Source organism: Homo sapiens, chromosome 8 (assembly GCF_000001405.40).
Source record: "Homo sapiens chromosome 8, GRCh38.p14 Primary Assembly".
NCBI classification, from domain to species: domain Eukaryota; kingdom Metazoa; phylum Chordata; class Mammalia; order Primates; family Hominidae; genus Homo; species Homo sapiens.
The window spans coordinates 18,719,005-18,735,159 of record NC_000008.11 but is presented as its reverse complement, the minus strand read 5'-3'; the positions used below and the strand labels follow the sequence as shown (position 1 = coordinate 18,735,159).

Sequence of the window (16,155 nt, the reverse complement as noted above, 5' to 3'; positions counted from 1 at the left end):
GAACTTAGGGATTTTTGGTGATTATTCCCTTCTCAAACTCTTACTGAATGTAGGATTAATCAACAGACCCTAGTTTTAGTAAACAGTTTCTGATTCTGTATGCTAAGGCATGAGTGGTCCTCGGCGTATGTGCCAATATTACTCTGAATTATTGCTTTCAAGGGGATAAAGGGCACAGTCTTTGATGTGAGGACTTGATTTTCCCTTTAACAGTAGAATTTTAAGTTTTCAACTGAGATGAGGACTGTTCGTTTTTAATTCAGAAAGCCTTTGTAATGGTATTGCTGTTCTCTGGAAGCTTTTGATTTTGGCTTGAGAAAAAATGATTTAACACCTTACAAAACATCAGAATGAGAAACTGTGGTCTTCCTTCTTTTTGTTGACTTTTATATTTACAGTTACGGGTTCACAGGCTTAAAGCTGGAGAGGGTCTTGAAGATATTCTAACCCAGTCACCTCATCGTTTAGAAAACAGTAGCCAACACTGTACATTCATTGCTTTTAGGTCTCCTCATGACTTGCTAAGTTCCATAAGGGCGGGGACTTTATTTGCCGTGTTTACTGTTAGTGCCTCCAAATGAATTCAGGTTTACAAGCAAATAAATGAAATGGAGAACCTAGGACTTGGAAAGAGAAAAGACTTACCCAAGATCATCTTGCCAGGAGGAACAAAATCTGACCTAGAACCATTGAACCATCATCTTGTGACAACAAAATTTGTGTCTTTTCCATGATTTAAAAAAAGAAAAAGGACTTTTACTTGGGAGTCTTAATCTGTATTAAAGATCAGAATCATACACAGTTTATATTTATTAGATACTGTTTTTCAGACATATACATGAATTTCATTGAAAAGTTATAGTACAACTCTTTGAATGAAGGTATTTTTAATCCATATTTTTATAGATGAAGAAACTTGGGCTTTGAAACAAAAAGTAATTTTCCAAAGGCTATACATAGAGGCAGAATTCAAGTCTGGTTTCTACCTCCAAGTTTAGTGATATTTTCTACTTTTGTCTTTTACATGGATACCAATGTTTGTCAATATTAAGAATTATCTAGACCCATAAGTAACAATCACTGAAATTATTTTTCTAGCACCTTATATGTTATAGACTTTAATACCTGTGGATATGTTAAATAAGTGCTGCCTTTGCCTAGGGGTCTGTATTTAAAAGGCAGCAAAAAAAACCCATAGCTTCTCAGTTCCTTTCATCTGTGGTTTTGGCCTTCTGTGTGGTCTGATTTGAAGGGCTTTTCTGCTCTTTTTCTTTTTTTCATTTTCCCATAATTGGACTTGGATTTCCTCCTTTTGGTCCTAAATGATTTGCAGGCTTCAAAGCCTTTCTACTACATTGCAGACACTGCCGGTATGGGATGTTAGTTGAGGATTAACATCTGTAGCTGGAAGAAAGATAATTGCCTTTTTTTTGGTTTCTGTTGAGGAGTGGAGGGAGGAATGATGATAAACCAGGACGTGAGTGGAAGCCATTGTGACATGGCACATTTGTCTACGTTCTGTGAAAGTAAAAAGCCTCTGATCCAGTGAAATTCTTGTCCAGGCTCAACTGGGCTACTTGCATAGGGACTCAGAATAATCTCATCACATCTCCACTTTGCTGGGCAAACCCATCTGCCAGCCACTTTTTGGCAAAGGTCATGCATGAGTAATACCACCATTTGCTATTCTCAAAGAGTCAGGATTTCAAGAGGGGGATGGCATTCTGCAGCATTGCAGTTTTAGTGCAGGATAAAGGATGTCGTCACAGGATCTACTATATTACCCCCTCCATTTATCAGTTTCCTTTTTCACCTGTGGCTGTTCTAGTCTTTCTTCTAGAAAGATATGCTAGAAACATTGAACTTATACAATTATGACCCTAAAAAGTAGAACCTCTCATTTTTTAAAAAAAGAGATTTTCCTTTTTTCCCTAACAATTTATATATTGTTTACCTGGTACCAAATCCTTGTAGCATTTCTTTTTGTGTAAAACATACATTGAGCCAAAAGTCATAAGAAAAAGCAGTAAGTGGTGGTTCTAGGTTCTCCTTCATTTGTTCTCTTTCTGTATTTTTAAAGGACCCTAATAAGATGTTGTAACCAACGCTGCTGTCCGTGATGCTATAGTCTGCATTGCACGTTTCATTCTCTTCTTTCTTTTCTCTCCTTCGTTGGTTGAAGAGTCAAGGGCAGAAGATGGTGGTGATAGGGAGGGGGCGTGTGTAGGCAAGGTACTTCGTCCCGGTCATCTTATCTTTTTCCTAATTTCATTTTATATTATCGTGGTTCACAATAGTGGGGCTTGTGGTAGAATATCTGTGAAAAAAAAATAAAAAAAAAAGGAAGAAATGATCACTTGGAGTTCTCCCATCCCTGCACGAACATGTTGTTCCATTCATCAGGAGTGTAGAGTCTATTTCCCCTCCCGCCGAAGCCTGGGCTGGTTTGTGTGACAGAATGTGGCAGAAGTGGTGCTGTTGTAACGGCAGGCCTTAAGAGGCCTGGCAGTTTCGGAGCCACCATGTAAGGAAGGAAGCTCAAGATATCCTGCTGGAGGGAGAAGCCATGTGTAGGAGCATCAAGGTGCTCCAGCTTGCAGCTGGCACCATGCTCATACATTGGACTGGGGCATCTTGGATCCTCCAGCCCCAGGTCAGCTCGGCCATTAGCACATGGGGTTGAGACATCCTGTTCTCACTGAGTTCTGCCCCAGACTGCACTTGTGCAGAATCTCTAGCAAATGAACTGATGATGATTTAAAGCCCCTCGCTTTTGGGGTAGCTTGTTACAGAGCAATAGATTACTGAGACAGGATTTGTAGCTTCCTAATCTTCCTTCTTTTCTCATATCTGTTTACGGTGTGTCCAGATAGTTCTATGACTCCGTATGTCCATCTACAATCAGTATTTTGTTTTAGTACGAGTTCGTTAGGCATTCTTCAGTCGCTATTTCTTGCTTTGTAGTTAGTGGGTTTTTTTTTCGGGGGGGAGGAGGGTTGTTTTTTTACCAGCTTTATATTTGTCCTCACTTGAAGCAGGTGACTCTCCTGAAATGCTCCTAGGGGGACATTTCTCTGAGGGGCACAGTGATACCATTTTCTTCTAGTTGTATATGAGAGACAGAAAATTACTTGTCTCTCTCAAAAGAAAAACAGTGGAAAAAAGATGACTTATTTTCCCTAAAGAATATTTCCTGCTACCCATTAAACCATAGTGACCTCTCAGACTCCTCAAATAGCTGTGCATCCTACTCACTGATGGGCAGAAAACAAAGCAGAAGGATCTAGGGTAAACATTTTTATTTAAAAGCAAAGACCCAGACACTCCAAGGAGAGTTTGCAATGTGTATTTTCTGTTCAAATGGCAAGTGTTCCCAGGAAAACCTGGAAGGTAGTTACCTAGTTTTATTTTAGATTTTCTGGAAGGATCTGAAACCCTTTTTAAAAGTACAACTTTTAATTTCCTGAGTAGAACACATGACTGTTCTGAGTCCTGGTTTCAGTTTCTATAAGCAATTTCCTTTGAGCACACAAGGTAGTATTTTTCTCATTTCGTTGTCAGTTTTTTGTACTTAAAAGATTTATTGTTTCTCCTGTTGTCTTTCTGCCTAGCAATTCCTTTCCTCAAGCTGTCCTAAACAGTTGATTAAAAAAGAATTACTGAGATCATGTTTGATACAGGGCAGTAAATTTTAAGTATCAAATAGATAAAAGAGGAAGGGTATAGAGAATCTAAGTTGCCTTTCTTAATTGGCAGAATCTTCCAATGTCACTTTCATGATTTGTTTGCTGTTTCCATCCTTCTGGTCTTTATTTTTTAACACTGACTCCATGAGTGCATTAGTCCATAGTCAGAATAAATGTTTTGCTATGTGATGAAGAAGGTTTTTTGTTTTTTGTTTTTGAGACAGAGTTTCACTCTTGTCACCCAGGCAAGAGTGCAGTGGTGCAATCTCTGCTCACTGCAACCTCCGCTTCCCGGGTTCAAGCGATTCTCCTGCCTCAGGCTCCCGAGTAGCTGGGATTTCAGCTGCCCGCCCCCACGTCCAGCTAATTTTTGTATTTTTATTAGAGACAGGGTTTTACCATGTTGGCCAGGCTGGTGAAGAGTGTTTATTTTGTGGGGGAGGTAAAGGGGTGAATTTTCTAGAGAGGACAGATTGGAATGACTTTTAGAAAGAAATTATCTTTTTAAAGTTTTATTTAAAAATAAACATTACTTTCGACCTTAGCTAGGTACATGTGATTTTTTTTTTGGTAGCCATCTTGCCAACTCTAAAATGTTATTATCGGCTATTTATTTGTTCAGTGTTTTCATATATTTTAAGTACACACATCTTGTCTTTCAGTTATATCTTAAATTTCTGAAAAACAGTGCCCACAGAATCTTAAACTCTAAGACAAGGCTTCCCAAAGGACATCTGGCAATGTTTGGAGATCTATTTGGTTGTTACAGCTGAGGCAATTAGCTGCTACTGGTATTTTAAGGGATAGAAGCCAAAAATATGTGTAAACAGTGTATAGCGTACAGTATCTGGCACATAGAAAGTGATCAATAAATACTTTTTGAGTGGATGGATGAAAGGCCAGTGAATGTAACAATGGATATAGTGTATCTTTTCTTTATCTTTCCTCAGAGGTACTAAGGGTCAACTTCGTTAAAGATCAGATTGCTAGTTCAACTATAAGGCATGGTCATCTCATTAATATTTATATATAAAGGGTTTTTGTATTTCCTCCACAATGACAAGTCAAAGCTAGATAATGTTTTAGTTATAACGTGGGGTGTATATGTTTGTTTATATTGGAGAATACTTACCGCTTGTCAGCTGGAGAAGGAGACATTTTACATATTAGCAGATGAGATTTGGTAGCAGTGTTGATGATTGTGCTGTGGTACCTTCATACCTAGAAGGTCAGGTCCTCATTTTATTGTTGTGTGATTGTGGAATAAATGCAGATTTTTTAGAGCTGTCCCACGGAAACATTTCATAGTCAAAATATCTCAAAAGAAGTGGTGCCTTGGGAAAAACACAGCATATTACTTGTCATTAGAAAGAGGCAATACTTGAGCATATTTCTTATTTTTGAAAGTCAGTAGCTAGTATCCCGTATGATATTCCTGTTTCAAAAATGAGGAAGCTTTTTTTGCTTTATGATGCTTTCTTCCTTTTCCAGTCTTTATGGAATGTAGGCTTTGCTATTCTAATTAAAATGGAAATAAATGAATGTGATAAATAAGAGTTTTTACTGGGTAGAAATGTTTAGTGCATTGTAGCAACGTTGGTAAGAGAAATTGAATTAGTAATTTCCTCAGTGGAAGGTTTAGCATGAGGATTTATTTCCTTCTCCTGTGTAGTAGGCTCAAGATAGGGATGTGAAGGATTTTCCTCCAGAATGGCATTTGTAATTTCTCACAGTGGCCTCATTTCATTCATGGCCCAGAGAGAGTGCAAGCTATTTAGAGAAAGAAGAGTTTTTGAAGGTAATACATGAGACAGATGTTGGGTATCTTTTCTTGATATACAATTACTAAAAATTATCCAGTTAAAATCTATACCTTACATAGGAACCTGCACTGTACCCTTTTTTGTCTTAGGAGCTTTGACTTTTGTTTATTCGTTTTATGGTTGTTGCATGCTACTTTTATTTAATGTGGTGGCATGTTCTTAGGAGAACTGCATAAGTCTAGATACAGCCCTCTTCATCTTGAAATAATTTTGGGTAAGAACCTTACACAAGGTCCCACATTTGACTTGAACTTGGTATTGAGTATGGACTAATGTTAGACACTGCTGTGGGTTAAAGGAGTCAGTTAATCTGATGCAACAGAGAAATTGAAATCAGAACCACTTAGAGCTGTTTCCTTAGCTCATTGCTTAAGCTTTTACAGAATGCATAATTATGAAAATTTATAGGTTTGTGGATTGTGGGGGACGTGTGGTTCAGAAATCTCTACTGACTAGTTCAGAGTCTCAAAGGGGAAGAAAATTGAAAGGGACATAAGGTTCTTATAGTTGATGAAGTCTCTAGCGTTAAAAATTGCTTATTAGTCTCTGTTAGTTGTTAAATTTTACAGCTGTTCTTTTTCTTTGGGTGGGAAAGGTGCAGGAAGAATCAAAGTTTTCAAATCAACAGGTTTTCTTGTGAATTCCACATTTTTTGAACAGACATTTTGAGATACAGAGAAAGCCTGAAACCAGATCTCTGCTTTTCTTAAAAGAAATCTTCCAGAATAACTGAGAAGCAGAACTGACATGTGAGGCGTCCACCCTCTCTGTCCCCTTCCCCTTCCCAGCTTCCCTTTCATATTCATTTTCATAGCTTTTTTTTCAAAAGTTTTATATTTTTCAAAATTGACATATAAAGGTTATATTTGTCATGTACAACATGTTTTGAAATCTGTATACATTTTGGAATGGCTAAATCGAGCTAATTAACTTATGCATGACTTCACATAACTCACATTTTTAGCTCACGCAGCGTAACTCAAGGTGACTGCTTGGCCCTTGAAAGTCTGGTCCTTGCCCACCCCAGCAGCTTTGGCTCTTTGCTGCCCATGTACTCCAGAACCACTGAACTTCCTTCAATTCCCAAACACTTTTCCTAAACACTCTGTCTTGCCTCTAAGTCTCCATCCATGCTGTTTCCTCTGCCTGAAACACTCCTCCCTCCTTTTTGTCTGGGTAACTCATACTCACCCTTCAAGTCTTCCGTTAGCTGTCCCTTCCTCTGAGAAGCCTTCCCTGTCATCAAAGTCTAAGTGTTCTTTCTATGTGCACCTGTGGTAGCTGGTTTTTAATTGACTTTGTTGAATGTTTCTATGAGACTATAAGTTTGGAGAAGGCATAAACCATGTCTGTGCTGTGCAGAGTTTGGTGGATAGGAGGTTCTCAACTTTTCATTGAATTCTTGCAATGAGTATTTCAGTGCTCAATTGTACGGTGCAGAAATTCCATGGAAAATCAGAGAAGAGAGAAATCAGTGAAGGCTGAAGTGATGAGTGAAAGTGGGACTTGACCTGAACCTATAATGATAAACTCCTTTGTGAAGTTTAACACTCTCTCTTCTACTTCCCTTTCTCCGCTTTTTTTTTTCTGTTTTTCATAAAATCATTCATTCATTCAGCAAATATTTAAGGGTCCAGTCTTCAGGCATTGATCTAGGTGGTGAAGATATAACAGTGAAAAATCCCTGCCCTCATGGAATATGTGTTCTAATAGACTAAATGGATAAAAATGGGTTAAATATAAGTCTAGAAAGTAGCTTAGTAGACTAGTAGGGCAATGAGGAGGCCAACTCGATGGGTGGGATATGTTACAAACTTGGACTTTGAATGGTTTTCCTTAAGAGCATAATTTTACTTGGGAGAGTAGGTGGGTAATAGGGAAGTATAAATAACTTCTGAGCAAAAGAGACTTTTCGTCTGTAACTGGTATGCAGACACTGAAAGTAAAAAGTCCAGCTTAGACAGGACTGCCAAAATATGGGTAATGATAGCCAGCCTGGAATAGTGTAGTAGGGGAGGGTTGTGGCAGAGAGGTAAAGATGAATAAGAGGGGTGTGTGTGTGCGTGCGTGTGTGTGTGTGTGTGTGTGTGTGTGTGTGTTTGGATTTTTTTTTAATTTAGCTATTGATTGATTGATCGATTGAGATGGAATCTTGCTCTGTTACCCAGGCTGCAGTGCAGTGGCACAATCGTGGCTTACTGCAGCCTCCACCTCCCAGGCTCAAGGAGTTCTCCCTGCCTCAGCTTCCCAAGTAGCTGCGATTACAGGTGTCCACCACCATGCCTGGCTCATTTTTTTTTTTTTTTTTTTTTTTTTGAGACACAGTCTTGCGGTTTCCTGGGCTGGAGTGCAGTAGTGCGATCTCGGCTCACTGCAACCTCCGCCTCCCAGGTTCAATCGATTCTCCTGCCTCAGCTTCTAGAGTAGCTGGGATTACAGGTGCCCACCACCATGCCCAGGTAGTTTTTTGTATTTTTAGTAGAGATGGGGCTTCACCATGTTGGCCAAGCTGGTCTTGAATACCTGTCCTCATGGTTCACCCACTTCGGCCTCCCAAAGTTCTGGGATTACAGGCGTGAGCCACTGCGCCTGGCCTGCCTGGACGATTTTTATATTTTTAGTAGAGATGGGGTTTTGTCATGTTGACCAGGCTGGTCTAGAACTCCTGACTTCAGGTGATCCTCCTGCCTCTGCCTCCCAAAGTGCAAGTGCTGGGATTACAGGCATGAGCCACCGCACCCAGCCTAGCAATTTATTTTCTAAAGAAAATTTCCTAGATGGTGGACTGTCTGGATAGTGGAAATAAAGGACAGGGATGAGTTAAGACTATCTAAAGTTAGAGCCCCGAAGCGTGGTTGGAACATTAAGATAGTAGTTTTGGTTTAGTTGGAATGAAGGTATTTTGCATAAGCTGAATCTGAGATTTCATTAGACCTAGGTTCATTCAGTTGATACCTATTAAGCATGTTCTAGGGGTTATAAAGATGCAACAGAACAGACATCGAGTTCATGTTCTAATAGACTCTGAGATGAGAAGATAGAATTGTTTGGAAATCTTTCGCCATGAGCATGAATTAAAGTCATGGGAATGGATGGAGATTTGGGCCTAGTTCTAGGTAGCAGATAATCCTGTAGTTTATTTAAACCTCTATATTTAGGGTTTGATATAATAACGTAATGATTATAATCAGCTATACAGCAGTTGATATTAAAATAAGGATACAAGAGAATATTGGGGAATTACAGTGGATCTTTTAAGCAGCTATGTTCCTTTTCTGTATGTGGAAGACGATAAAAGACATTTCTTTGTCTTTAAATTCTAAGCTGTTATTTCATTAAAGTTCAGTAACTTAATGTCTCTGGCTGCTTATTACTTGGCAATATCTCACTAGCTCATCGATGTCAGTGTAGGCTGGTCTACAATAAATGCATAAAAGAAACAGAGGCCAGTGATTCATATGATTTTTAAACAGATTTGGCACAGGAGTGCCTTTCTGGGTTTAGGGAAGTGGTGGACAAGGCAGGAGAGAACCACATTCATCTTCTCCTCTTGTGTTTGTCTTCTGTCTTTCAATAACGTCCATGAACTGTGAGGTTAGTGTCTTGGCTGAGAGATAAGTATGGCTTGGCATTGATTCTTCTGTTGTTACCTCAAGCTGTTTTCTAGTCCCCAAGAACAGCACTCTCAGTGGGTGTGGAAGTGGGCGGGACATGAAGCAATGGTTTTACATTGCATTGCCTGGCTACAGCTTGGCATTTCTTTCCTTTTTCTTTTTCTTTGCGTCATTGCCATTGGTGCCACTAATTTTGCTTCCCCTCTCTTTTATAACTTGTTTCTTCGGGAGTTGCCTAGAGTCTCTGCATTATATCTTATTTGGTATTGAGGCAGTGTGTTCTTGGCCAATAACCTAGGAGATGATATCTGTTCATCTTACAGGTTTAGTGCTGGAGGAATTCATTAAAAATAATAATAAAACAAAAAGGAAAAATAAAAGTTCCTTTCAGTGGGTCTTCTTCTTCCTGTCCCTGGCTGTCCTTTACTTTGGGACATGTACTGACTCCATTTTAGATGTCCCCGTCTCTCAAAAGAGGGGAAAGTGGAACATGAGGTGGGAGGGTGATAGAAAAGAATGCCAAGCCCATTGTCCCCAGTGGTTCCAGAAATCAAAAGCTAGCCCGCTTGAAGGAAGTATAATGGATTTCTCCCCTTTAGGACAAAGTGGGATTGGAATACTTTGTTTTTCATCTTTCTTCTGACCCCAACCAAGGAAATCTATAATATTCAGTTCTTTGAAGATCTGATCCTACTTATATTTTCTCCTTTTGATATTTCTGTCCCTTGTCTGTTTGTAGCCCCTCTTCCAAAAGCTGACTGCAGGAAAAGAGAAAGATTACTATTTTCTAAGTTTCCTAAAAAATAAAAGAGTTCTTGGGGGGCTTGCGTCGCGTTAGACCTAAAGGATGGATAGAATTTGGGTGGATTGGAGTAGAGGCTTACTCCAGGCATGGGTTACATAGGAAATATGATGGGGAGCCAATACGTAGAACCTGTTTGCTGCACTGAAAACTTTAATGGAAGTTTATTTGGTAGAAAAGAACAAGGAAATTAGATTTGCTCAATGATTCCCAACATGGTAGAATTCTGTTCACTTTGTCTTTTAAAATCCTTTTACATGACTTTTCTTTTTCTTTCTTTTCTGAGCCACTAATTTTGCCTAAGCCCACCTGCCCATTCCACATCTCCCATTGTTCCCATCTAGTTGTTACGATTGTTCTTTGACCACATATTTCTCCTTATATCCAGGGACGCAGACTGTTAGTTAGTTATATGTTATTTCCTTGCTGCTTTTATTCATGCCTTCATTTATTTTTCCATTTATTAATAAGCTTATTTGTTCTTGAATCATTTGTTAAGCCCATGTATCTTTCTCAAATGAGGAATTACGTGCCCACATTAACTCTCTACACTTCCCCCGCCAGGTCCCCACCAGCAGAAAGAATTATTTTATTTTTATTTTTATTTTTATTTATTTTTTTTAGAGACAGGGTCTCACTCTGTCACCCAGGCTGGAGTACAATGGAGTGATCATAGCTCACTGCAGCCTCAGACTCTGGGCTCAAGTGATCCTCCTGCCTCAGCTTCTTCTCAAGTAGCTGGGATTACAGGTTCACACCACCACACAGCTCATGTTTTATTTTCTGTTGAGATGGGGGTCTCGCTATGTTGCCCAGGCTGGCTTTGAACTCCTGGCCACAAGAGATGCTCCTGCCCTGACCTACCAAAATGCTGGGATTACAAGCATGAGCCACCACACCTGGCCCAACAGTAAGAACTCTAAGGAGATTTCTGGCTTTAATATTACTGCTATTTGTTTTGCCCAATATGATTTTGCCTCATTTTTCTTCTTCCATTTATAGACCGCTGTAATAGCCTTGGTGACAGGCATTACCCCTCTACTCGTCCTGATGCTGAGATCTCTAATCCACATGATTCTTCCACCCCTACCTGCTTATAAAGAATCCAAACCCTAGGCTCATATTTTCATCTTCTTTTTAGTATTTTCATTCTTCTTATGTCTATTATCATTAACCCTCAAAAGAATAATTTTCTGTATAACTGTAGACATGTAAGTTTACAGATCTTTACTTGAGTTCATATGGCTGTGATAGTGTTTCACTGCTGTGACTACTGGAAGCTTCCTTAGGTATTCCATTGTGTATGGAAACGGAAGTTGCCAATCACATTAAATTAATTTCTGCCTCAGGAAACATGAGAGATTTAAAATCAATAAATGATTTTTCAGTGACACTGTCAGGGAAAATCAAATCTTCTAGAAATTTAAGTCAGAATTAAAAATGTGTTCTTAAAATGTATTTATTTTTATGTACTTGGCTTTCATATGATAGTTTATTTTAAAAAGGCTACCGTACTTTGCTATGTTTATACTTACCAGTGTCATTAATCTGTAAACAGTGCAGTGCCACTGACATATTCTTTGAACCATTAGTGTATGGAAGGCCTCGGGAGAGATGGTACTGGAGATACAGAAGGAACAGGGTTTTTTTCCCCCACCTCAAAATAGAAAGGGAACTCTGTCATATGTCTTTTTGTATTTCTTTCAGGATGTCGCTCTGTGCTAAGCATTTAATTGATCTTCAGTAGAGAAACGCCTAAGGAACTAACTTAGATTATATTAAAATAGCTACTGAAGATCTTTTTAATGACTTTCTATAAAATGAGAAAGTGCACTGGATGATGAATGCAAAAATGAAAGAAAAATTAAATCCATATATGCACAAAGGCATTTGCAGAGTTTGCATGACAGCTCATTCCTAAGTATTACTTATGGCACTTAGCTTTCTATGCAGAGAGTAACAATAACAGTAATATTGATCGTTACACCTGGGCTTTTCAAACAAGCTAGAACACACGTGTCATCTGCAGCCACATGTCCTTCATGTGCTCCTGGGTTCATGCACTGCCCACGGAGGAAATACTGTGGGTCACTCTTAAGAGGCATGAGTTTTGCTGTGTCAATTCAACGGAGCATGGTTTGTTTGTTCGTTTGTTTCTTTGTTTTTCTCAAGCACCTGTTTGTCCATTTGCATGCCAGTATTATGGAAAACATTTTAAAAGTATGAGTTATGTTGCATGTTCTTCATCTTAATGGTTTAAATAGGGAAACAAAACTGATAACATGTAAAACAGCTAGCAAGGGACATACGGCATTCTATAATTGTTGCTCATTGTGGGGTTCGCATAACGGGTGCTGAAATAGTTCAGAAAATTAGAGTTTGGAGGGCATATTGTACTCCAGTAATGCTCCTTGGGAGTGATAGAATTTGAATGGGCTCTATAGATAGATGAGATTTAGGCAGATGGAAGGGGGCGCTGGTCAGAGGCAGCCTCAGGGCATCCCAGGCCGAAGAGGTCAGTATGCTTTTCTCCCTCATCCATTATTGCTTCTTCTTTCTCCTCCTACTTGGTTTCAGTCTTTTGGAAATGAGATTGACATCTTTCTCTAATGATTATATTTAGATACATTTATTCACATCTGTACTTCCTTCAGGTGGAAATGAAGGGGGAGGAAATGGAGAGAAAGAATTAATGTTTTCCATTTTTTAAAGATTAAGTTTATTCTTAGTGTGGATTACGTATTACTCACTTGAAGGGAAACCTTTTACAAGGCCATCTAGATAAGAGAAATCTCAGATTATCAACTGTGATTAGTGTTTTCAACTGCACTGGAAACAGAACATATAAGAACATGGATATTTTTAGATTCTGATTTAACTCTTTTATTCTATTTGCCAGCTCTAAAAAGTAGACTGAGCAAAGGTAAGGGTGAGTGCTGCTGCTTTAAAAAAGGGAACAACCAGCTTCTTGTCTAGTTAGGGAATCTCTTAAGACTCTGTCACATACATTTTAGTCCCACTGACATATTACTCCCACCTCCTTGTGGGTAGTAAAGTTAAAATGTTTTAAATGTTCTTTGATCGTCCACCCACCGATCTAGTAGACTTTTAAGTTCAATACCGCAGCTGGGAGAAAGGGGAGTTGAAATTCAATTTTTACTGTTAAAAACAAGGCTCAACAATCATAGTCTGTATGTCTGCACCAGTTTAGAAATTGTAACAATAAATTGGCTTCCGCTTTCAAATGTGTTGTTAGTCATCACACTTTAAATTACGTGGCATTACTATGTGTGACCTACTTAAAAATGGTTGTCCCTTCAGTGGGAACAATATGTGTGCAGCCATTGGGTGTCTCGTAGGCCTTTTAAAAAGCTCACTTTTAATGCAACACATTTTGAACATCAACACATTAAATAAATACTTACTATGATTCTTTACTGGCTGGATTTTATTGGGTAAAGAAGTGTGATCAGTCTTTAGGGAACGATTTAGTAAACAGTTACACTAGCAAATGCCTCCCTCTTGCCCTGTGTTAATAGGACACATATTCCAGAATGATCATCGGTTTATGCAGTATGGTTCCTGGAACAGGAGTCCAAAGACCCAGGCCCATCTCTGGTCTTGTTGTTACACAGCTTCATGGCCTTGAGCATGTCACCTAACCTTATACAATATCACCTTCCTCATGTATAAAATGAGACATTGCATTATTGTCTCAATAAACGTCAATCTTTTTAACTTCTAAGGCTTTAATGGTCCCAGCTATGCTATAGAACTTCAAGGAAAAACAAAAGGATAAATACAGCAGTTCCTGGTCTTGGGTGGCTCAAGCACTTGGTCCTAGTTACTTGGGATACAGTTAGTTCATTCTGATAGACATTTGTAGGCATGTCTCAAAATGAGTCTTACATAGCACCCCTGGGTGCCTTCCCCACCCCTTTGGAGCCTGTATTGGAACATTGGCAGGTTTTTTTTTTTTAATGAAATAATCCTTAAAGAGAAATCAGTGATTGATAAAACAGTATCAGAAATTGCACACACCTTGTTTTGCTAGCCAGAAGTGAGTTTTCAGGGGTGTCCGGTGGGACAGATGGCGATGACATGAATCACTAGGGCTCTTCGGGTGAGAAGGGCCTTTGCTCCGAGTGGGATGTGGATTGTGGGCTTTTCTGCAGAGACTTCTTTCCCCAAGAAAACCAGTAGAATGCTAGTGATGTAAACTCCTTGTTCACATTGACAGATGAACCTTTCTCCTCAGTATGAATTTTTTTCTTCATCTTGTCTTTTTTAAATAGAGGCTTGTTTTTGCCCTCAGATCCTGGGGTTTGGGAGAGAGTGATATCAAATAGGAAAAAATAAAACCTTTAAGGCATCACTACAAATAATAAATCACTGCTTTGGAATGTGACCCTTTAACCTCATTTTATTTTCCTGAAGACTTGGATTGTTGTAATTATGTGTGTGTTTAAAACGCACTGAGCAAATGCATCGGCGCTCCTGTGACTGGTATTGTATGCCATCTGCAGAGCACTGTGGGGGTGGCCAGGCAGGGAGGATGGGTTTGTACTAAACACTGGATTTTTCTTTTAATTTTACTGGCACATTCAGTATGTACTTCTGTAAGAATCAATTTTCATTTCACTTTTTGGTCATTTTGCATGTATTTTGTATTTATGTCCCACTCAAGATCTTCTAATTCTTGCCAATTGTTAATTGCTGTAAACACATATAATTCCAGGTAGTCTGAGGATATGGATAGAGGTTTGCTTTTGTTGTTGTTTTTAACTCTGGTTTCTTAGATTGCTCATCCTTGACTTAATAAAATTATACCCTTTTCCTAGATATTTTATTAAAATGTGTTGTCAATCCAAAGAGTCACCTTAAGAGGCTCAGAGAATCCAATTGTGGTAAAATGTGTAATCCAGTAAACATCTGGTGGTTCATGTTGCCAGGAATGATTGGAATGTGCCTGGTACTTTAATGACCATTTTAATAAAATATGGTTATGTTTTTGGATTCAAAGCAGGAGCTTTGAGGGTTTTTTGTTTTTTTGTTTTTGTTTTCCAACTTCTCTGCTTGCAAGGGAATATCTGCAGATTTTCTCTACATATATGAGTTTCCCATACATTGGAAATGGCAGTAGTCCCTAATGAGTTGGGTCAGAATGGGGCAGTCATAACTGCCCATGGAATTCTATTTTACATTTTAGGGCATTAAGGGCAAGAAAACTTACGTATCTTTACCTTTTTGGGTTTCGATATGAGAAATATGATGCATATATCGCTATGAACAGAAGAGGCCTGGTTGGTATTCTTTAATCCTTCGTGTTTATAGAGCCTGATATACAAAAGAACTATTGTCTAAAAAATCTTTGACAAAGCAAAATATACAGAGTTTTGCTATCTAGATATATGCTATATTCCTACAGAGCTTTCTGGTTAAAATGAAACCAGCTCTAAAGAATAGATTTAGGTAACTTGAAGATTAAAAATAAAATAAACTAGAATAAACAAGTCAGGCTTTCTCAAAGTTGGAGGTGTCCATGAATAGATCATACTATCTCGGGAAATAGTGGGTTCCTTGACCTGCAAATGTTCAAGAATAGTTGTGCAATTAGGATGTTGAACAAGGGGCTCAGCTAAACGAGTAAATGAGTATTTGGAGTAAATGATTTTTAAAGTCTTGTTCAAGTGAGATTCTATAGTATCTGTTTTGATACAGTTTTATACAAATATGAATATTGTTTTAAAGCAGTATGACTAGTAGCACATAATAAAGATAATGTCCTTGACCTGTCTTTTGCTTCTGCCAGGGTTGTGTATGTGGCTTGAGAAAATTCTTTTTCTCTGGAGTTCTCTAAAACATGGAATAAAGCAAAAGTCTGGATTTAGTAGTTTGTACAAGCCATAAACTCAGTTTCAGATTTTTAAAATTTCAGTTAAAAAGTCAAGGTCAGAATGCAGTCTTGTTTAGAGGAACTCTGTGTATTGTACCCAGGAAACTTTTCACTTTGACAATCTCAGTGGCGTCCACTCATACCCATCTTCCAGGGTGCCTTCTAGACACTCGTTTATTGGCCAAACAGAGCAGAGCGCTTCTGAAGCAGGCTGCGGGACTATCCGAAGTCACAGCCACCTAATTTTCGATCTCTGTCTTAGCTTTTTCCTTTTAGCCTCATTCTCCTGATCTAGGATAACTCTGTTATCACTTACATTCTTTAATGCTTTATT

The 16,155-nt window shown here is 38.7% G+C and overlaps 1 protein-coding gene and 1 long non-coding RNA gene across 22 annotated transcripts in view; one reads left to right on the top strand and one right to left on the bottom strand.

Annotated features, from left to right (window-relative positions):
* Window positions 1–16,155, top strand: part of PSD3 (pleckstrin and Sec7 domain containing 3) — a 557,503-nt gene that overhangs the window by 349,646 nt on the left and 191,702 nt on the right. The gene's annotated exons all lie outside the window — the stretch shown is intronic.
* Window positions 755–14,255, bottom strand: PSD3-AS1 (PSD3 antisense RNA 1). Its single transcript, NR_199011.1, has 3 exons — window positions 13,967–14,255; window positions 4,819–5,020; window positions 755–2,317 (listed from the first exon to the last, which is right to left on the bottom strand). It is a non-coding gene; the product is annotated as a PSD3 antisense RNA 1 (long non-coding RNA).